At 54.3% G+C, this 21,240-nt stretch overlaps 1 protein-coding gene across 5 annotated transcripts in view, besides 2 other annotated features; it reads right to left on the bottom strand.

Annotated features, from left to right (window-relative positions):
• Positions 1–6,695: 6,695 nt before the first annotated feature.
• Positions 6,696–21,240, bottom strand: part of C16orf96 (chromosome 16 open reading frame 96) — a 62,158-nt gene continuing 47,613 nt past the window's right edge. For 4 of the 5 annotated variants that reach the window (NM_001387219.1, XM_047434053.1, NM_001145011.2 and 1 more), the window contains 9 exons: positions 20,341–20,415; positions 19,123–19,287; positions 15,670–15,788; positions 15,087–15,149; positions 14,138–14,230; positions 12,944–13,103; positions 12,651–12,750; positions 8,090–8,170; positions 6,696–7,354 (listed from right to left, as the gene is read on the bottom strand). In NM_001387219.1, coding sequence (NP_001374148.1) covers positions 7,137–7,354; positions 8,090–8,170; positions 12,651–12,750; positions 12,944–13,103; positions 14,138–14,230; positions 15,087–15,149; positions 15,670–15,788; positions 19,123–19,287; positions 20,341–20,415 — 1,074 coding nt within the window. In that variant the 3' untranslated portion in view covers positions 6,696–7,136. The remainder of the gene's footprint in view (positions 7,355–8,089; positions 8,171–12,650; positions 12,751–12,943; positions 13,104–14,137; positions 14,231–15,086; positions 15,150–15,669; positions 15,789–19,122; positions 19,288–20,340; positions 20,416–21,240) is intronic. The other variant, XM_005255301.4, reaches the window with a different exon arrangement.
• Positions 12,583–13,382: an enhancer, noted in NCBI's record as "H3K27ac-H3K4me1 hESC enhancer chr16:4644073-4644872 (GRCh37/hg19 assembly coordinates)". NCBI's record gives its function as "activates a minimal SCP1, AML or CMV promoter by ChIP-STARR-seq in naive H9 embryonic stem cells {active_cell/tissue: H9 hESC(naive)}" and the evidence as "EXISTENCE:reporter gene assay evidence [ECO:0000049][PMID:30033119]".
• Positions 14,185–14,985: an enhancer, noted in NCBI's record as "H3K27ac-H3K4me1 hESC enhancer chr16:4642470-4643270 (GRCh37/hg19 assembly coordinates)". NCBI's record gives its function as "activates a minimal SCP1, AML or CMV promoter by ChIP-STARR-seq in naive H9 embryonic stem cells {active_cell/tissue: H9 hESC(naive)}" and the evidence as "EXISTENCE:reporter gene assay evidence [ECO:0000049][PMID:30033119]".

Raw genomic sequence — 21,240 nt, 5'->3', positions numbered from 1 at the left:
GTCTTACTCAGTCACCCAGGCTGGAGTGAAGTGGTGCCATCTCAGCTCACTGCAACCTCTGCCCCCCAGGTTCAAGTGATTCTCTTGGCTCAGCCTCCCTGGTAGGTGGGACTGCAGGCACCCTCCACCACGCCTGGCTAGTTTTTGTATTTTTAGTAGACACGGGGTTTCACCATGTTGGCCAGGCTGGTCTTGAACTGCTGACCTCAAGTGATCCACCTGCCTTGGCCTCCCAAAGTGCTGAGATTACAGGAGTGAGCCACCGCGCCCCGCGGGGAGTTCCATTTATTAAACACCATGAGCCCTGGGGTGGCCTGTAGTGAACCACACCCTCACTATTCAAGGCATGGTTCGGACCCCAGCATCAGCCAGGAGCTTGTTAGAGTGAGGCTGCAGCCCAGACTCCCCGAATCAGAAACTGATTGAACAGGAGCCCCTGGTTCCAGATAGACATCAAAGTTTAGGAATTGTCCCTACACTTCATCCCTACATCGTCACTAATACCGGGGAAACTGTCCCACCACCCTCATTTCTGTTTCTGGGGGCCACTGTGGGCTGGGCCTGGGGGTCTCAAGTGGTCACATTAAGGACGGGAGAGACTTGAGGTTCCTGCAGGGCTGGCTTTTTCAGCGTGGTCACTGTTGACATTGAGGGCTGTGTTATTGTCCTGCAGTGGTGCTGAGCAGTATCCCTGAGCCCTCCCCACTGAATCCAAGGGCAGCCCCCTTATTAGGACAATCGGAAGTGTTTGCAGCCAGTGCTCATGTCTCCTACAGGCCACCATGGTCCCAGTGGAGTGCCTCTGTGCTAGTTCTGTGGCTCTCATACCTGGCTGCACAGCAGGTAAAATAAAACTGGCAAACCACAGGTTCGTTGGCCTCATGCCATCAGACTCTCTGGGCCGAGGCCGAGGCCGAGGCCCTGACGTACAATCGTGGAAGCTCCCTGGGTAGATGATGGTGATTGATCTGTGACTGTACCAAAAGCCACTCAATGGCATGCTTTAGAAATGTGGACGTTCTGGTGTGTCAATTATACCTCAAGGCTGTTATTGAAAATAAAACAGGCTGGGCAGGTGGCTCACGCCTGTAATCCTAGCACTTTGGGAGGGTGCAGCGGGGGGATCATGAGGTCAAGAGATCGAGACCATCCTGGCCAACATGGTGAAACAGCCGTCTCTACTAAAATACAAAAAATTAGCTAGGCGTGGTGGCGGGCGCCTGTAGTCCCAGCTACTCGGGAGGCTGAGGCAGGAGAATCGCTTGAACCCAGGAGGTGGACGTTGCAGTGAGCAGAGATCGCTCCACTGCACTCCAGCCTGGAGACAAAGCAAGACTCCACCTCAAAAGAAAAAAAAAAAAAAACAGAAAAAAATGAAAATAGCTCCTTTCACATATATTTTTACGTGCCATCTAGTCATGCCCCCCACATCGTGAGTGGGAGCCTGCAGACTCGATCCCCGGACTTCCAGAGCACAAGCGTCCCCTGGGTGCTTGCTGAACACCCACGTTCCCGGCCTCTCCCTTGAGGCAGTTGTTCTGGAGGAGGGTCAAAGAATCTGATTTGTGTTTTAGAGATAGGGTCTTGCTCTGTTCCCCAGACTAGAGTGCAGTGATGCAATCATAGCTCACTACAGCCTTGAAATCCTGGGCTCAGGTGATCCTCCCACCTCAGGCTCCCAAGTAGCTGGGACTACAGGTGCACGCCACCACACCTGGCTAATTTTTTTTAAATTTTCTTGTAGAGATGAGGTCTTGCTATGTTGCCCAGGCTGCCCTTGAACTCCTGGCCTCAAGTGATCCTCTTGGCTTGGCCTCCAAAAGTGCTGGGATTACAGGCGTGAACCACCTCACCCAGCCCCAGATCTGATTTTTAATAAGTGCCCCAGGCCAGGTGGGAACCACTCCCAGTGGGAGCAGTCTGGGAGCCTTGGGGAGGGCAGGGCTGGGGCTGGGGCTGGCAGTGCAGGTGTTTTCCGGCAGATGCAGAGGCCCTACCAGGTGTGCTTGGAGCCCTTGGTCGCAGGGGCATCTTACAAAAAGAAGGGGGCTGTGCACGTGGGCTAGGACTAACTCTAGGGGAGCCAGAGGTGGGCCTACGAAATCACCACATGCCCCAGACCTTGAATGTGACACAAAGAACCTGGAGCCTCCCATGACTTCTCTAAGCCTGGAAAATCGAAAGCAAAACCAACCGGAGGCCAGACACGGTGGCTCACACCTGTAATCCCAGCCCTTTGGGAGGCCGAGGTGGGTGGATCACCTGAGGTCAGGGGATCAAGAGCAGCCCTACCAACATGGTGAAACTCCATCTCTGCTAAATACAAAAACTTAGCTGGGTGTGGTGGTGCATGCCTGTAATCCCAGCTACTCAGGAGGCTGAGGCAGGAGAATCGCTTGAACCCAGGAGGCAGAGGTTGCGGTGAACCGAGATGGCACCACTACACTCCAGCCTGGGCAACGAGCGAAACTCCGTCTCAAGAAAAAAAATCAGGAGAGTTTATGGGAAAAGCCTCACTTCCGACTTATCTTGGAAACTGGAAGATTTGGTGCAAATTCCCTTAAGGCCATAACTGGCTGAAACTGACCATGGCACTGGGGACACGGCGTGGCCTGCCCCTGCCAGCCTGCTCTACGCCACCACAGCCATGCACGAGTCCAACTCCTGCGTGGGAATCGGCTGGAATCCCTGGAGGGGGTCTGTCTTTTCACCACGGGGAGCTTCAGAAGTAAATGCCCTGTCCAGTGGGGTAGGATGAACGGCGGTGGGCAGGGCTCCCCCTGGAAACGGCCGTGAAAACAGACGGCTTGTTCTGCAAGATGCTCTCGGTCGAGAGGGACTCACCAGGGGCTGCTGAGTGTCCCCAGGGTCTTTGCAGCGGTCCAGCCAGGGTTCTCTGAGAACACCCTGCGGTCAGCCACAGGGAACCAGGCTGTCTCCGAGGCTGACTGCGGGGCTGGGTGGGGCTGCTGTGGCCCTGGAGGTCTCTGAGGGGCTTTCACAGCAGTCCCTGGCACAGGACAGATGAGTCCTTTGACTCCGGTCTTCTTCCCCGAATACGGGAGACCTCCTAGGTTGGCCGGAATGGAGTTCTTTTGACACAAGGCTACTTCTAATTCCTGCGTTTGGAAAGTTCTCTGGGTTTTTGAGCACTGCTCATATTTGGACAACGGATGTATTTCAACAGAGCCTTAAAAGAACACGGCTGTTTTGGAGGTGAGGGGCTACCGAGTCCTTTTAGGGAGGGCAGAAATTGGGGGCCCCTTCCAGGATGACCAAGGACTTGTCAGTGGCACAGCACTAGGCACCGAGGAGCCTGCTGGTGAAATTCTGCTCTGCTTCCCGGGGTCATCTCTCATCTCCTGGGGAATTGCAAAGCCACGATCTTGATGGAGTCATTTTGTCCTCATCCCAGTGGAGCCACGAGCAAGGTGAGGGAGGCAGAGGAGAGAAACCCTTGTCTGCCGGTTGTGTGTGTGGAAGGTCTCTGCTTAGAGCTCGCACATCCATGGAGAGTCAGAAGTCAAGCCAGCCAGGACAGTGGGTGTGGGGGGTTGGAGGGAGCATGTGTTGGTTCCTGCGTCCCTAAGAAGTCGCTGCATGCCACGCCCTTCTGTCTGGTGCCTGAACTTCCACCCTGGGCAGTCCACTTTCGGGTACTCACAGTGCCCTTTTCCAACACACGTGCTGGCGTCTGTTGTTTATCCCTTAGTGTTAATGAGTTCATGGTCCTTGAAAGGGAGAACACGTTGAATGACCTTTCACTTGCAGGGGTGGGCTGGGATGGGCCTGGCAGTGTGAGGTGGTCACCACACAGCATCTCCTCTATTCCAGCAGCACCTCAAGGTGGGACCTTCCTTTCCCTTCCTGCCCACCCCATTCACAGAGCCCCGCGCCCCTCCCTCCTCTCCCCACATGACCAATTCATCTGTCTTCTTTTTTTTTGTTTGAGACGGAGTTTCACTCTTGTCCCCGGGGCTGGAGTGCAATGGCGCGATCTTGGCTCACTGCAACCTCTGCTTTCTGGGTTCAGGCGATTCTCCTGCCTCAGCCTCCTGAGTAGCTGGGATTACAGGCGCGTGCCACCATGCCCAGCTAATGTTTTGTATTTTTAATAGAGACGGGGTTTCATCATACTGGCCAGGCTGGTCTCGAACTCCTGACCTCAGGTGATTTGCCCACCTCGGCCTCCCAAAGTGCTGGGATTACAGGCGTGAGCCACCACGCCCGGCCATGTTGTTGTTTTCTGTCACCCAGGCTGGAGTGCAGTGGTGCAATCATAGCTCACTGCAGCCTTGATGTCCTGGGCTAAATTGATCCTCCCGCCTCAGCCTCCCAACTAGCTGGGACCACACACATGCACTACCACGCATAGCTATTTATTTTTTTGTAGAGACGGGTCTCACTGTTGCCCTGGCTGGTCTGGAAATCCTGGATTCAAGCAGTCCTCTAGCCTCTCCCTCCAAAAGTGCTGGGCTTACAGGTATGAGCCGCTATGCCCAACCAAGCCACAGCTGCTGCCTAGGGAGTAGCGCAGCTCCCCCTCCCAGCTTCCAAGGCCTGCAGGCGCCACCCCTCTGCACTAGTGTGGGTTAGGGGAGATTCTGCCTGCAGCTCCCACCTGGGACCCAGGCCAAGGCCAGCCTCCCCACACCCTCCCTTGGGCACTGCCTTCTTCCGGGACTGCTCCTCACGGGCCTGCTGTGGGGCCGGAGTCCCCACCTTCCCAAGCCCCCAGGTGGCCCGTGAGGATGCAGAGGAGATGCCCCCAGGCCTCGCTCCTCACCTGCTGGGCTGCAGAAACTCACTCCAGCCCTGGCTTGTACACCCAAGAAAGGGGCTGGGATGGTGCTCTGGAGGGGCCCAGTGGGGACAGGCAGTGAGGGGCACTAGGGAGAGGGGGGCCCAGCTGTGCGGGACCGGGGGATGCCCTGGGTGTCACGTGTCAAGATGGCCTGGCCTGGTGTCCCCCAGGAGCCCTCCCCTCCCAGCTCAGCAGAGCGGGGGCCACGCCTCACTGCAGTGGGAGGGGGTGGAAGTCACAGGACCCAGCAGGTTCAGCCTCCTGGTGGGGGCCGGCAAGTTGGGGCCTCTCTCTCTGTGACCCTGGGTGCCTTCTCTCCTGCCCACGGGCTGAGCCTCGGGTGGTGGCTGGAGGAGGGACCAGCAAGTCCCACCTCCCCACACAGAAGGCACTCCGCCAGTCCCCTCATCCACGGTCAGAAATGTGGAAGATTTTGTTCTGGGCAGAAATTGCCCAAAATACTCATCTGTGGTATAGGGGTCGGGGTGGGGGCCAGGGCTACACCAGACAGCACCCCCAAGGCAGCTTGGATAGGTGTCACCCAGGTCAAGAGGGGCTTGGCCTCATTTGGACACAGTCTTTGGAGAAAGAAAAGAGCAGCCAGGGTGGGGGGCGTGGGTCGCAGTGAGCTGGGCCAGGGACCTTGAGGACAATAGGAACAGAGTAGGCATGCAGTGTCCCCAGACTCCGATGGCCACCGGGGCCGGGGGAGAGACTGGAGCCCAAAGTCCCCCCCTAGGCAGCCAAAGGGAAGTGAAAGGGGAGCCCCCCTCCAGCTCCCTCCTGGCAGCTCCCCACCAGCCCCTCAACTCCCCAGCACCACCCCAGGGATCCAGTGGACACTGGGGACTATGGCGGCGGGTCAGGCTTCACCCCTGCACAGGGACATTGTTTTAGTCTCCGAGATGGGATAGAACCGTCAATAGTACAGAAGGAGAGAGCAAAACGAGACAGCGTTAGGGGCGAGAAAGGAAAGAGGGAGGAGGATTGAAAGGGAGGAAATTGAAGGGAGAGACAGGCAAACTGTCAGAAGGGGAAGAAATGAGGCCAGGAGCATTGTTGGGAGGGGGGCCTGGGGGAGCCCTCTGCTCTGCGTGCCAAGGCCAATCCCTGAATTGCCGCAGCAAGACCGTGTGACCTCACAGTTGGCTCTTTTTCCACCAAACGCATCGGTGGTGAGCACAGGAACCAGAAAGGCTTGAAACAGGCAAGTGGCACCTGGCCCTGGAAGGGATGGCCATCCCAGAATATCCCACGGGCGCCGCACCAGCCTCCTCATGGATCAGCCAAGAGGCAAATATAAACAATCAGATTTTGTTTAAAAAAATTAATAACTAGTTACTGGTAGAAAGAACATGAAATAAAAAGGATGCACACAGCCCAGTCTGGTTCCCGTGGGGAACTGGTCTTGGAAATAATGGCCCCCAAATGAAAGGCACAGTGCCAGGAACTGTAATTGGAAGTGATTCTAATGAAATCATTTCAGCAAATAAAAAGGAAAAGTGTTTTTTGTTTTGTTTTGTTTTTTGTTTTTGAGAGTGAGTTTCGCTCTTTGTTGCCCAGGCTGGAATGCAGTGGTGCCATCTCGGCTCACTGAAACCTCCACCTCCTGGATTCAAGTGATTCTCCTGTCTCAGCCTCCAAAGTGGCTGAAATTACAGGTGCCCACCACCACGCCCGGCTAATTTTTGTATTTTTAATAGAGATGGGGTTTCACCATGTTGGCCAGGCTGGTCTCAAACTCCTGACCTCAGGTGATCCGCCCACCTCGGCCTCCCAGAGTGTTGAGATTATAGGCGTGAGCCACTGTGCCCGGCTGGAAAAGTGTTTTTCAAACCACTTGGTGTTGTATTGAAAATGGATCAAGGAATTAAATTGGCTTGTTGGAAAATTCACTCTAGAAAGCTGTGTTTATATGACAATGTAGAATGAGAATGTGCACTGTGCTGTTTGTATTTATATGCACAGGATAAAACAGCCACTGGGTCAGCATGGGGGTCCCCTACACAGACCCCTCCCCTCTATCCAGGGCCCCAGCACCCTTTCTGGGCCAGGCTCAGGGCCCTGGGTCTCAGCCGGGGACGGGACTTGGTGGGGGTGGGGGGGGCATATGGGTCTCAGCCTCGGACGTGGAGGGGACTTGGTAGGGATGGGGGGGGGCGCATGAGCCTCAGCCTCGGACATGGAGGGGACTTGGTGGGGGTGGGGGTGGGGGGCCACATAGGCCTCAGCCTCCGATGTGGAGGGGACTTGGTGGGAGTGGGAGGGCCACATGGGCCTCAGCCTCGGACGTGGAGGGGACTTGGCGATGGGGGGCGCAGCGGGGTGGGGCTCACGGGTTGGCGGGCTCCTCGGGGGGCTTCCTGCCGACTCGGGACTCAATGTGTGGAGCTCTTGAGAGCCTGGTGGACCCTGGGGCCTGCTGGGGGTCCCTTAGGGATGGAATCAGCGGTGGCAGCAGCAGCAGAGGTGGCAGGGAAGGTGGTCGAGCTGGCATCGTCAGGTGAGGGCCCGAGGCAGCTGAGCAGGCACTGGAGCGGGGGCACAGGGCTGGGGAGGGGCAGGAGAAACCCTAGATGTGTGCCAAGAACCTTCTTGGGAGACACTAGCCTGATGGGGCCATCCCCACTAAAGAGAAGAGAAGCCCAGGACTAGAAGTGCTGTACAGGCCATGGCCGGCTGGGCACCATACCTCACCTGGGCCCTGGGCACCCTAAATGTCCTGGGTGGGTGACCCAAGATAAATGACACCAGGAATGTTTGCTTAAATGGAGCAGAGCCCCCGGGAGAGAACATGAAGCTTGGAGTCCACGGATCTGGGCTCAGCTCCCAGCTCACTAGCTCTGTGATCTTGGGCCACAGCTCAAAGTGACCGAGCCTCTGCTCCCTCCTCTGTGAAATGGGCAAACAGTGCCTGCCTCACAGGAGTCGGGATGAGGTTCTGATGAGATAAGGGAGAAACTGCCTTGTAAACTGTAAAGTACCCTCAGGTGCCTGCTACGTGGTGATCCGAACCAGAGAAGCTCAGTTCCTTCCAACCTCAGTTCCCTTGTTGCCGCCCCTGCAGCTGGGTGGACGCTGGGGACAGATGCTTGGCCTGGGCACCGGGGATGGCACCGGGGCCAGGAATCATCTCTGAAGTGCCATAGGCAGGCAAAGCAGGCAGGAGGTGGAGGAGGTGGACAGGAGAGCCCAGGCGGGGTGTGGGGGATGGGATGAGACGAGGAGGGACTGGAGACCCTTCCAGAATCACAGCTGGGCTGGGGCTGGGAACCAGGTACTCACGGGGGCAGATGGCGCCAAATAGGGCACTGGAGTGCACACGGTCATACAGGCTTTGTGACGGGGGAGATGGAGCCTTCACAGCTTAGCAGAAAAGAAAAGAGACAGGTGTGGGTGGCATCCACCCCTGGGCCTGTGTCAGGCCGATCCCAGCACTGGGCAGTCTCCCTCTGGTGGGACCAACCCCATTTCCCAGGCTCCCCGGTCCATTCCTTTATGGGATAATCAATGTTCTTCCCTCCTTGGCTTCTTTTTTTTTTTTTTTCTTGAGGCAGGGTCTCCGCTCTGTCACCTAGGCTGGAGCGCACGCAGCCTTGAACTCCTGGGCTCAAGCAATCCTCCTAACTCAGCCTCCCGAGTAGCTGGGACTACAGGTGTGCCCCACTACTCCCGGTTAATTGTTTAAATGTTTCCTAGGGAGGAGGTCTCGCTATGTTGCTCAGGCTAGTCTTGAACTCCTGGGCTCAAGCTATCCTCCCACCTTGACCTCCCAAAGTGGTGAAATTACAGGCGTGAACCATTACGCCCAGCCTTCCTTGCCTTCTTGAGTGGAGAGTGTCTCAAGGCTAAGAAAGAAAAGAAGGCTCTTTGAAAGTAACTCTAGGCCAGAGAGGAGTGTGACGTGATTTCAGCACAGTAAGACACAGGTGAAATGCTGGCAGGGCTATTTATGGTTTAGCTGTCCCGCTGGGGGCCAGAGCACCTAAATGCCCCCATCTTCCTGTCCTTCACCTTTGTTTTTTTTTCATTATTCGAAGTAAAATCCACATAACGTAAAATTAACCAGTTTAAAGTGCACAATTCAGAGGCATTTAGGACGCACACAGCGTTGCACACCACCACCACTATCTTGTTCTGAAACTTTCCCATTACCCCAAAAGGGGCCCTGTCCCCATTAAGCAGTCACTCTCCCTTTCCCCGCCCCAAACCCCAGCCCCTGGAAATCACCAATTTTCCTTCTGTCTATAGATTTTTCTATTCTGGACATTTCTTTTCTTTTTTCTTTCTTTTTTGTTTGAGACCAAGTCTCATTCTTTTGCCCAGGCTGCAGTGCAGTGGCGCAATCATGGCTCACTGCAGCTGGAACCTCCTGGGCTCAAGTGATCCTCCCGCCTCAGCCCCCCAAGTAGCTGGGACTGCAGGGAGCCTCACTATGCCCTGCTAATTTTTGTATTTTTTATAAAGGCGGGGTTTCACGATGTTGCCCAGGTTGGTCTCGAACTTCTGGGCTCAAGTGATCCTCAGGCTTCAGCTTCCCAAAGTGCTGGGATTACAGGTGTAAGCCACTATACCTGGCTTTGAGTCTGTTTTGAGTTAGAAAGTTCTTTTGGGGAAATAAATGAGTGACAACAGCAAACTGATCAAGATCTGGCCACAGACAGGTTTCCAATTGATTTCTAATACAGAAGGTCCCTGATTTATGATGGTTTGACTTACCACTTTTCAGCTTTAAGATGCTATAAATCCGTCACAATTTCAATGTAATATATAGTAGTCAATAAGTTACATGAGGCCGGGCGCAGTGGCTCACACCTGTAATCCCAGCACTTTGGGAGGCTGAGACAGGTGGGTCACTTGAGGCCAGATGTTTGAGACCAGCCTGGCCAACATGGCAAAACCCCATCTGTACTAAAAATACAAAAATTATCCAGGCGTGGTGGCGCACGCCTGTAGTTCCAGTCACTTGGAAGGCTGAAGAGGGAGGATTTCTTGAGCCCAGGAGGTTGAGATGGCAGTGAGCTGAGATCGCCCCACTGCACTCCAGCCTTGGCAACAAGAGCGAAACTCCGTCTCAAAAAAAAAAAAAAGATGAAGCAGTTGACGCCATCATGATTCAAGTCCTGGCTTGCTGTGTGGGTCTTGGGAATGAATGAGCCAAGGGGGAAAGCCCCTCCCTCTAGATGACAGCCCTTGGGGAGGCCAGTGAATGAGTGGGGACAGGACTGGGTGCATCAGATGTGGACTCCATCTGCCCTGGCCGCCCGGCAAGCAGCCCTCACTCAGCTGGTCATTTGTGAAACTCCTTGGCAGGTTGTTGGAGGGTGAAGGAGGTGGGGCAGGGCCTGGCACGAAGTCGGGGTTCATTAAATATTAGCCACCGTTGTGATCCTGCCTGGTGATCCCTGACGCCCAGCCTGAGCCCTCCCAGCAGATACCAGGCAGGGGGCAGGGGCTGGAACGGCCAGTCCTCTCGAGGAGAAGCCACATCCCGCCCAGGAGAATGCAGGGTTTGAGACGGTGTCTGGCCCGCCTGGAAACAGGGTGTGTTGAATGTGCTCCCCAAAAAGATACATCTCCTAGAAGCTGTGAATGTGACCTTATTTGGAGAAAGGGTCTTTGCAGGTATAATTAGCTTAAGGATCTTGAGATGAGATCATCCTGGGTTAGGTCGGGCACAAATCCAAAGACAAATGTCCTTATGGGGGACAGAGGAGAGGACACACAGAAGAGAAGCTCACATGGGGACAGAGAAGTGCCAGGGAGTGCCATCGGCCCCAGAAGCTGAAGAGACAGGGAGGGACCCTCCTCAAGCCTTTGGAGGGAGTGCAGCCCTGCTGACTCCTTGATTTAGGATTTCCAGCCTCCAGGACAGCGGGAGGATCAACTCTGGCTGTATTTTGTTTTTGTTGTTGTTGTTGTTTGGTTTTGTTCTGTTCTGTTTTTGTTTGTTTGTTTGTTTGTTTTTGAGACAGGGCCTGGCTCTGTCGCCCAGGCTGGAGTGCAGTGGTGAGATCATGGCTCACTACAGCCTCAAATTCCCGGGCTCAAGCGATCCTCCTGCCTCAGCCTCCTGAGAAGCTGGGACTACAGGCGCACGCCACCATGCCCAGCTAATTTGTTGTTGCCCAGCTGGAACTTCAGCTGTTTTTTTTTTTTTTTTTTGAGACGAAGTCTCGCTCTGTTGTCCAGGCTAGAGTGCAGTGGCGTGATCTTGTTTCACTGCAACCTCTGCCTCCTGGGTTCAAGTGATTCTCCCGCCCCAGCCTCCTGAGTAGCTGGGATTAACGGCGTGTGTCACCATGGCTGGCTAATTTTTGTATTTTCAGTACAGACGAGGTTTCACCATGTTGTTCAGGCTAGTCTTGAACTCCTGACCTTGTGATCCGCCCGCCTCGGTCTCCCAAAGTGCTGGGATTACAGGCGTGAGCCACCGTGCCCGGCCAATGGGACGGCGTGCTACATGGGCCGGGGAATGAAGGAACTTCAGCTGCTTTAAGCCACCCTGCTTGTGGTAATTTGTCTCGGCAACCCCAGGAGACGAATCAGGGTGCCTCCTCCTTTGCCCAGCACATTGATGAAACAGTCCCCCTTCCCTTCTTCCATGTCTGGTCTTCGAGTCAATGGAGGCACAGCGTTGGCAAGAAAGAATTTCTGCCGGTGGGCCAGGCGCAGAGGCTCATGCCTGTAATCCTTGCACTTTGGGAGGCTGAGGCAGGTGGATCACTTGAGGCCAAACATGGTGAAACCCCGTCTCTACTAAAAAATACAAAAATTTAGCCGGGCGTGGTGGTGCGTGCCTGTTATCCCAGCTACTCGGGAGGCTGAGGCAGGAGAATCGCTTGAACCCGGGAGTTGGAGGTTGCAGTGAACCGAGATCGCACCACTGCACTCCAGCCTGGGCGACAGAGCAAGACTCCGCCTCAAAAACAAACAAACAACAACAACAACAACAACAAAAAACCAGAATTTCTGCAGGTGGAGTTCAGGCCCCGGCCATCTTGTGGCTCCGGGACTGCTCCTTATGGGGCGGCGTGTAGCTCCCACCCAGGGGCAAAATTTAGAACTCCCCATCCCCAAGGGGGAAGAGCCTTCAAGGGGTGTGCAGAGAAGGCTCCTCTTTTTGTCCTTCGAACCCAGTGATGGACTCCAGAGTCTTGGGGTCCCAGCAGGAGCCGGCCAGAGCCGGGCCTCAGCACTGCAGCAACCACATTGACTGATTCCAGATGTGCACAATTCTGGGTCTCCCGCTGGCCCAACCCTTGCCTGTGATATTAACACACAGCTTCTGGGGTCTGGCCCAAGTCTCCTCCTTGTCACCCCACTGCCCCACCCCAGTCTCCACCCTTCAGGGAGACTCGGCGTCCTGAGCTCCTGCCTGTGAGTGGCTTCCACCCACCACAGGGCCTTTGCACCCACCGTTCCTGCCACACGACCACTCTCCTCTCACCCGACCCCTTCATCCAGCTAAGTCCTAGTCCCTCTTCAAGGGCTTCAGGGCAGCTGTCCAGTCCGTCCTCCGTGGACTGGCGTCCCTTGGCACCAGCCCAGCACCTTTCCTAGCTCATCGTCCTTCGTCACAGGCCATGGTCCTGTGGCCACGGCCCTCTCTCTGGTCAGCTGTTGATCTCGGGAACAGCAGATCCTCGCTCCCGCGGTCTCCCTCCCCCATTGCAAAGACTGAGTCTCCTGGGGGCCTGCTGTGACCCAATTTTTGTGACTGACTGTGTGAGGACTCCCCGGTCAGGGATAGTGCTGGCTCTGGGCCCCACCTGCACCCTCTCACCCTGCCCAGCAGAACCAGGGCCCCAGGCAAGGGTGCCCCAGGGAGCCCTACGCCCCTCACCTGCCAGCTCCTTTGCGACGGCCAAGGGCTGAGCCCCACGCTGGCTGTTCACGCGGCCTTTGTACAGGATCCCATCCACGCCCAGGATGTCCACCTCGGCCTGTTGGATGGCCCAGGTCCCGGGTTAGGGAGCCCCCGACCCGATCTGCCCCCGAACTTTGGTACACGCAGAAGCCCAGGAGACAGAGTGCAGCCTCTGCTGGGGTTGCCCACTGCTCAGTGCCTGGTCCCACACCTGGGGCTGGGGTGCGCTGACGTCCACCCTCTGAGAAGGAGGCCCCGGCCAGACTCACGCTGTCATAGTCGATCACGTGGGGATCCCCGTAGGGATAGAGCGTCAACAGGTTGCAGGACTTGCACTTGAGGCTGGTGGCGTTTTGGGGGCCATCACCCCAGTCCTGCTGACAATCCTCCTGGATACCGAGGTCCTGGAGCTGCAGCCACTGCTGTTCCCTGCAGCAGGGCAGTGGGTCAGCAGCGACCTGGAGACCCTGTACCCCAGAGCCCAGGACGGGCCCCAAGGGCCTGGCCAGCATCGAGGGAAGACCAGCATTTCTTTCAGCTTGTGTTTAGCTGGCACAGCCAGGCAGGCCTGGGGCCTGGCGGATGGATACAGACACACACAGTGGGGCAGAGGAATCAAATTGAGACCTGCATTTCCCCAGACCCAGCCATTTCCCTTTGGACCCCTGGCCTGAAGAGCGTGTCCTTCTAATCTCTTGATCTCAAGGAGCCAGGGAGGGAGGGTGGCAGAGTCAGCACAGGCCCCCACGTCCCTCCCCTTCCCACGGCTGTGGTGACGATTCACCGGTTCTTCCCCCACCTGGCCAGACGTCCCCACAGCAGGGTTGGAGGCTGGGGAGATCCATAGAGCTGTGGGATGTCAGGAGGTTGAGGGGTGGGGCTGGCACCCAGGGAGCCAGCTGGGTGCGGTGGAAACCTGAGGGTTTGGACATCAGCCCTGGACTTGCTAGCAGTGACCTTGGGCAGGTCACTGCAGTTCTCTGAGCCTCAGTTTCTTCAACTGTGACATGGGATGGTACCAGGATACATCTTAGAGGGCAGCTGTGAGGACTCAACAAGGCCAGGTGAGCCCCAGCGCTTGGCACAGTGCCTGCCGGGCACAGCAGCGGCTCCCTGAGGGTTCCCCATCATCACCGATTCCCTCCGCCAAGAAACAGGGACATGGGCATAGGAACCCTAGCTCACAGGGGGTTGTGAGATTTAAATAAGAAACCGTCTAACAGTTCCTGGCCCACAATAGATGTGCAGTAAATATGTCAGTTCCTCCCTCCGCCATCATCTCGTGGGCCTGTCTGCCGCCCCAGCCACCTCTCGGAGTGCCTGTCTTGCGAAGGGCTGGCCATGTCCAGGACAATCTTAGGTCCCTGGGCCTGGAGGATGTGTCTCTGCAGGAACAGGGTTCCCAGGCTCCAGAGTGGCCTCCATGCGGGGCGGCCTCCCTGCGGGGCGCCCATCCTGCTCACCTCATCTGTTGCCGCTGCAAGTACTCGCAGCTGTTGGCGCTGGCTGGCCGCAGCCGGGACAGCAGGTGGGCTTTGCGGATGGTGATCAGCTGTCTGTTGGAGGACAAGGGCACAGCAGGGGCTGTGGGAGGCGTGCTAGGCCAGCAGAGGGCTCGTCTCCCACCCCTCCAGGAAGCCTTCCCAGCAGGAGGAAGGAGGTGCAGACTCAGGTCACCACCCTCGAATGCCAGAAGCGTCCACAGCATAGAAGTAGAAGGGGCCCCCCCGAAAGGCATCTCAGGACCTCTGATCATCACAGTAAGACACAAAAAACAATTGTTCTATTTCCAAAAGTAAAAACCAGGCTAGGCGCGGTGGCATACACCTATGATCCCAGCACTTTGGGAGGCTGAGGTGGGCGGATCACCTGAGGTCAGGAGTTTGAGACCAGCCTTGCCAACATGGCCTTTTTTTTTGATATGAGGTCTCACTGTCACCCAGGCTGGAGAGCAGTGGCACAATCCTAGCTCACTACAGCCTCGAACTCCTGGGCTCAAGCCATCCTCCCATCTCAGCCTCCTGAGTAGCTGGGACTATAGGCAGGCGCTATCATACAAGGCCGCATATTTGTATATTTTTGATGGCTGTAGAACAGTGTATGTGGACATGTGTATCTTGAAGGCTGGGGAACCCTGTATATGAATGTGGATACACATGGCACATACAGAACAGTGTACATGGATGTGTATGGACTTGACGGTACAGAACAGTGGATGTGGATGTGTAGATACCTGGTGCATAGAGAATGGTGCATGTGGGCGTGTATGGACTTGATGGCTGGAGAGAATGCTGTATATGGATGTGTAGACACACAGCGTGCATGGAACGGTGCACATGGAGGTGCACGGAGATGACCTCCATGGGCCCCACAAGCCCTTAGGGCCGGGGCACCCTGGGCGGTGGTACTCACGGGCCAGTCATCATCTCCACAGGCCGGTCACAGGAGATGCACTTCACGCGCTTGAACAGCTTCCTGAAAGGCACATGATCATCAGCCGCTGCCCCTGCTGGGCCCAGGCCATGTGTGGGAGGCTGCAGCCAGCCAGAGCCCCAGGGCTGCATCCCTCCTGCCAGTGCCCGGCCCAGCTCAGCCCCACAGGCCCTGCAGTCTCCAACCACTCTTGTGGTTTCTCTGCCGCCCCAAACACAACGGATGGTTTTTAAAGCTGTGTGAGGGGTGGTCTGAGGACAGGAGCCCCATAAATATTGGGTCCCTCTGCCTGGGGCACTGTCTGGGTGGGGGTCAGGGGTCCTGGATCTGCCCAGTCCCCTTCCCTCTCTGAGCCTTGGTTTCCCCATTGGCAGGAATAGGGCTGGATCACCTCTGCCAGCTCAGGCCAGAGCTTCCCTCCTCCTCAGTGCTTTCAGCCACAGCCAAGCCCCCATCCCCTCATCCAAAGGTCTGGAATCTTTCCTCCCAGAGCTTCCAGGGTGTGTTCCCCACAGCCTGGGCAGCAGGACCCCTACCAGGAGGGGCTCGGGCGGGCACTCACCTCCTAAAGCCAGCAGCACTGTCAGGATCCAGTCTTAAGCCCTCAATCAGCAGCTTCCGGACGATTTTCCAGACCTCTTCCATTTCTTTCTTCAAGGGATCCAGATCACTGTGGACTAACTGCCAACAGCCAAGGGGAAGATAAGAAAGAATACTCTATGAATTCACACCCTGCCTCCTTCCAGAAGAGGGTTGCAGCAACCTGGGAAGTTACACGGTGTAACAAAATTCAACTAAAATAGTGAGGGAGTCCAGGAAAGGGAAAATGACACAGCTTCGATGAGGCTCAACCCCTACTAGATGCTATTGGTAGAGGGGAGCTGCAAGGTGAGCTTCCTAGCAGCAGAAGCAAAAAACACCATCAGCTACTGTCTGCAAAAGACCAAATCAAACCAAGCTCAGCTGCAGGCTGGGCGGTCTGAGACACCTTTCTGGCAATGGTCCCACTGCACCTGACATTCACACACTCAACACATGTTTATTGACGGTCTGTATGTAAAGTGGGCAGGTTTATGGCGTTTAGTATATTTACAGAGTTGTGTGACCATCATAATCAATCGTATTTATTTATTTATTTTTAATTTTATTTATTTATTTTTGAGACAGAGTCTCGCTCTGTTGCCCAGGCTGGAGCGCAGTGGTGCAATCTCTGCTCACTGCAACCTCCGCCTCCCGGGTTCAAGCAATTCTTCTGCCTCAGCCTCCCAAGTAGCTGGGACTACAGGTGCGTGTTACCACACCTGGCTTTTTTTTGAGAGGGAGTTTCGCTCTTGTTGCCCTGGCTGGAGTACAGTGGTGTGATCTCAGCTCACTGCAACCTCCGCCTCCCAGGTTCAAGCAATTCTCCTGCCTCAGCCTCCCAAGTAGCTGGGATTACAGGCGTGTGCCCCCAAACCCGACTAATTTTTTTTTTTTTTTTTTTTACTTTTAGTAGACATGGGGTTTCACCATGTTAGCCAGGCTGGTCTCAAACTCCTGACCTCAGGTGATCCGCCCACCTCAGCCTCCCAAAGTGCTGGGATTACAGACGTGAGCCACCACGCCCAGCCTAATCTTTGTATTTTTAGTACAGACGGGGTTTCACCATATTGGCCAGGCTGGTCTCAAACTCCTGACTTCATGATCTGCCCGCCTCAGCCTCCCAAAGTGCTGGGATTACAGGTGTGAGCCACCGCACCTGGCCTTATTTATTTACTTTTATTTTATTTATTTATTTATTTATTTTTGAGACAGAGTTTCACTTCTGTTGCCCAGGCTGGAGTGCAATGGTGCGATCTTGGCTCACTGCAACCTCCACCTCCCGGGTTCAAGCGATTCTCCTTGCCTCAGTCTCCCGAGTAGCTGGGATTACAGGCCCCCACTACCACATCCGGCTAGTTTTGTATTTTTAGTAGAGACAGTGTTTCACCATGTTGGTCAGGCTGGTCTCGAACTCCTCATCTCAAGTGATCCACCCATCTCTGCCTCTCAAAGTGCTGGGATTACAGGTGTGAGCCACCGCGCCTGGCCAAAAATAGTTTTTTAAAGTAGAGATGGAGTCTCTCTATGTTGCCAGGATTGGTCTCAAACCCCTGGGCTCAAGTGATCCTCCCATCTCAACCTCCCAAAGTGCTGGGATTATAGGTGTGAGCCACTGTGCCACCCGAGGGAGTATTTTTTTGAGACGGAGTCTTGCTCTGTCGCCCAGGCTGGAGTGCAGTGGCGCTATCTCGGCTTACTACAAGCTCTGCCTCCCGGGTTCAGGCCATTCTCCTGCCTCAGCCTCCCAAGTAGCTGGGACTACAGGCGCCCGCCACCAGGCCTGGCTAATTTTTGTTGTATTTTTTAGTAGAGATGGGGTTTCACCGTGTTGGTCAGGATGGTCTCAATCTTCTGACCTCGTGATCTGCCCGCCTCAGCCTCCCGAAGTGCTGGGATTACAGGCGTGAGCCACCGTGCCTAGCCGATGGAGTATTTTTTTTAAGTTACAGAAATGGTGACATTTCACTAATAAATATTTGAGTGTGATAACATTTTATTATATAACCACAACACTATTATCATGTTTAATACAATTAGCAACTATTCCTGAATTGGATGTCATCTCCAGCCCATTTGTAGATGTGGTTCAATTAAACCAGGAAACAAGTAAAATCTCTTCATGTGTTGCTTTTGGTTGTTCTGCGCCCATTTTTTTTTTTTTTTGTGAGATAGGGTTTCACTCTGAGTGCCTGCCAGGGTGCTCCTGCTGCCCAGGCTGGAGTGCAGTGGCACGATTTTGGTTCACTGCAGTCTCAACCTCCCAGGCTCAGGTATTCTCTCACCTCAGCCTCCTGAGTAGTTGGAAATGCAGGTATGTGCCACCACACCTGGCTTTTTTTTTTTTTTGGTAGGGGGACAGAGTTTCACCATGTTGCCCAGGCTGGTCTTGAACTCCTGGGCTCAAGTGATCTGCCTGCTTTGGCCTCCCAAAGTACTGGGATAACAGGCGTGAGCCACCACAACTGGCTGCAATGTCTTTTATGATGGAAGGTGGTCACCCTCCATCATCTCTCTAATATCCTGTAGGTTACACAAGCTGGTCCCATTCAATGTGGGAGGGGGCTAAACAACTGTGTGAATACCAAGAGGTATGGTTGGCGACCGCCCTGGAGGCTAACTATGCCACTCTCCTGGCTGCGTAAGTGCAGGGATGTGGGGTGGAGGAGGAGAGTCTCTGAGGGACTGTGACAGTCATTCATTTATTCATTCATCGTTTACTGACTGCCAGTGATGTGTCAGACCCCGGGGAAGTGTCTAGAGGAGTCACAGCCCCTTCCTCATAGTAGACTGGAACAGTTGGTCCAACAACAGTGCTACATGGTTCTTGCAACTGAGGTGGCTGGACTGGCCCAAAGAGGTTAAATTAGGTTTAGAATCAGGCAGCTCTGGGTTTGAGTCTCAAGCTCCACCATGAGCAGCAGCGTTTCCTGAGGGAAGTATAATAACCTCTCTGAGGCTCAGTGTTCTCCTCTGTGAAATGGGGATCAATTCATTTATTGACTATGTATGGGGCAGGTGCCCAGAGTGAGGCCCTGTATGAAAAAAAAAAAAAAAAAAAAAAAAGACATTGCTGCTTCTTCCTTCCCCTCTTGGATCATTTGATCTGGGAGATGTCAGCTGCAATGTCATGAGGACTCTCAAGTGGCCCAAAGGCAGAGTCCATGGGATGAGGAACTGAAGAGTGTTACCAACAGCCATGTGAGGGAATCTCTTTGAATTGGCTCATCCAGCCTCATTCGAGCCTTCAGATGAGACCAGCCCTGGATGACATCTTGACTGCAATTTCACAGGAAACCCTGAGCCACCCAGCTAAGTTGCTGGGTCACTCCCAAATTCTTGCTCCTCCTAAACTGAAAACGTTTGTTGTTTGCAGTTGCTAAGTTCTGGGTTAATTTGTTAGGAATAAAGTGAAAATCAACATGGGGGCATTCACCTTGGTGTTCACGTCCTTGCTGAGCTCCTCCATAGCCTTCTTCCAGCTGTCCTCATGGATCGTGACCTTGAAGAGTATGCCCTGAATCATCTCGTTCAGCTCCAAGGCCACAGTCTCCAGGTCAACGCGGCTTGCCTTGCCTGCCAGGGCACTCCTGTCAGCTTTCTAGGGAGACAGGGAGTTCAGGGAGGCATGGCTGCTGGGATGGAGGAAGGCAAAGCTGGGAGACATCACACCCCTTGGGTCTGATGCTTCTAGTTTGGGACTCTGGACTTTTAGCCTTGGCTTAAATGCAACCCTGGGGTCTACGTGGATTCAAACACGATCTCGAGATCAAAGCCAAGGTTTTCCTATAACAGGGAAGTTGATGTATTTTATTATTATGTGTTTTTTTGAGACAGGATCTTGTTCAAGGTTGCCCAGGCTGGATTGCAGTGGCACAATCATAGCTCACTGCAGCCTCCACCTCTTGGGCTCAAGGGATCCTTCCACCTCAGCCTCCTGAGTGGCTGGGACTACAGGCATGTTCCATCATGCCCAGTTCATTTTTTTATTTTTTTGTAGAGATGTGATCTTCCTATGTTTCCCAGGCTGTTCTCAAACTCTTGGCCTCAAGTGATCCTATCTTCTCGGCCTCCCAAAGTGCTGGGATTACAGGTATGAGCCACCCTGTGCACAGCTGATGTGTGATTTTCAAGTAGAGTGTTAATAATCCTCAATTGCTGAAAATGGGAGTTGATGTGCCTCCTGTTTTCCTTTCTTTTCTTTCTTTTTCTTTCTTTCTTTTTTTTTTTTTTTTTTTGAGACAGAGTTTTTGCTCTTGTTGCCCAGGCTGGAGTGCAATGGCATGATCTTGGTTCACTGCAACCTCTGCCTCCCAGGTTCAAGTGATTCTCCTGCCTCAGCCTCTCAAATAGCTGAGATTACAGTTACCTGCCACCACGCCTGGCTACTTTTTGTATTTTGACTAGAGACGGAGTTTCATCATGTAGGCCAGGCAGGCTGGTCTCGAATTCCTGACCTCAGGTGATCCACCCGCCTTGGCCTCCCAAAGTGCTGGGATTACAGGCATGAGCCACTGCGCCCAGCCAACTCCTGGTTTCAATATGAACAAAGGGGGAGGGAAATTCTGGAAGACTCTTTGGTGGGCTTTGCCTGGATGGTGCCGTTTCCCTGGGTAGGGGAGCAGGGAAGGCAGAGGAACCTCTGCTCACTCACCTCTCTCAGCTCCTCCTCCATCGTGCTCTTATTCACCTTGTTCATTTCCAGTCTTTTGATTTGAGCCTGGAGAGTCTAAGAACAGAAGCACAGGCATGTCTGCCATCCTGGAGAGCCTTGAGGATAAAATGTCAACCTCCCACCTCTACCATTACCATATGCTGGGGAGGGATAGCAGGCCGTGTGGACAGCAGGCAGGTGGGCATGGGCGTTACAAGACTCAGGCTCAAGGGCTCCAGGTGCCCAGATGAAAAGGGAAGGAACGTGCGACTTGGGACAAGCTGTCCCCTCAGAGATGGTATCATAGGAACTTTCCTCCACGGGGAGTTAGACCCAAGGAAGGAAAGCACAAACCAATGTGGACGATTTCGCTCCCTGGATGTTTAAGGCATGTTTACTACTTCTGATCTGTCCTGGGGTCCCAGCAGGAACTCCAGTCTACTATGAACTGAGCACTTATCACAGCCACACACACTGTGCTCAAGCGTTAGGGAAAAACCTCACGTCCTATCCCCACAACTCCACAAAGAACCAACTGCCCCCATGAATTCCACCCTCTCTCCAATTACTACATCCCCATTGTAATAGGAGCAGCAGCTGGTCAGCTTGGGAAGAGCCTCCATTTCCCCAGAGGGTCGGGCCATAGTTCCTGCAAAGCTGCAAACAGGCTTCTACTTCTCTCTTCCTGTCGGGTGTCCCGCTCACGCTTACGAACAGAACTCTGGACTTTTAGCTGGAACCCAGCTGCCCAGAATCAAGACTCCATTTCACAGCCTCTCTTATAGCTTAGTGTGGCCACTGGGGTGTCAACAGAAGTGAATGGGTATCTTTAACATGTTTTGTTTTGTTTTGTTTTTTACAGAATCTGCTCTGTCGCCCAGGCTGGAGTGCAGTGGCGCC

This window comes from Homo sapiens, chromosome 16, assembly GCF_000001405.40.
Source record: "Homo sapiens chromosome 16, GRCh38.p14 Primary Assembly".
In the NCBI taxonomy this organism is placed as follows: Eukaryota; Metazoa; Chordata; class Mammalia; order Primates; family Hominidae; genus Homo; species Homo sapiens.
This window is presented reverse-complemented; position numbering and strand designations above follow the sequence as displayed.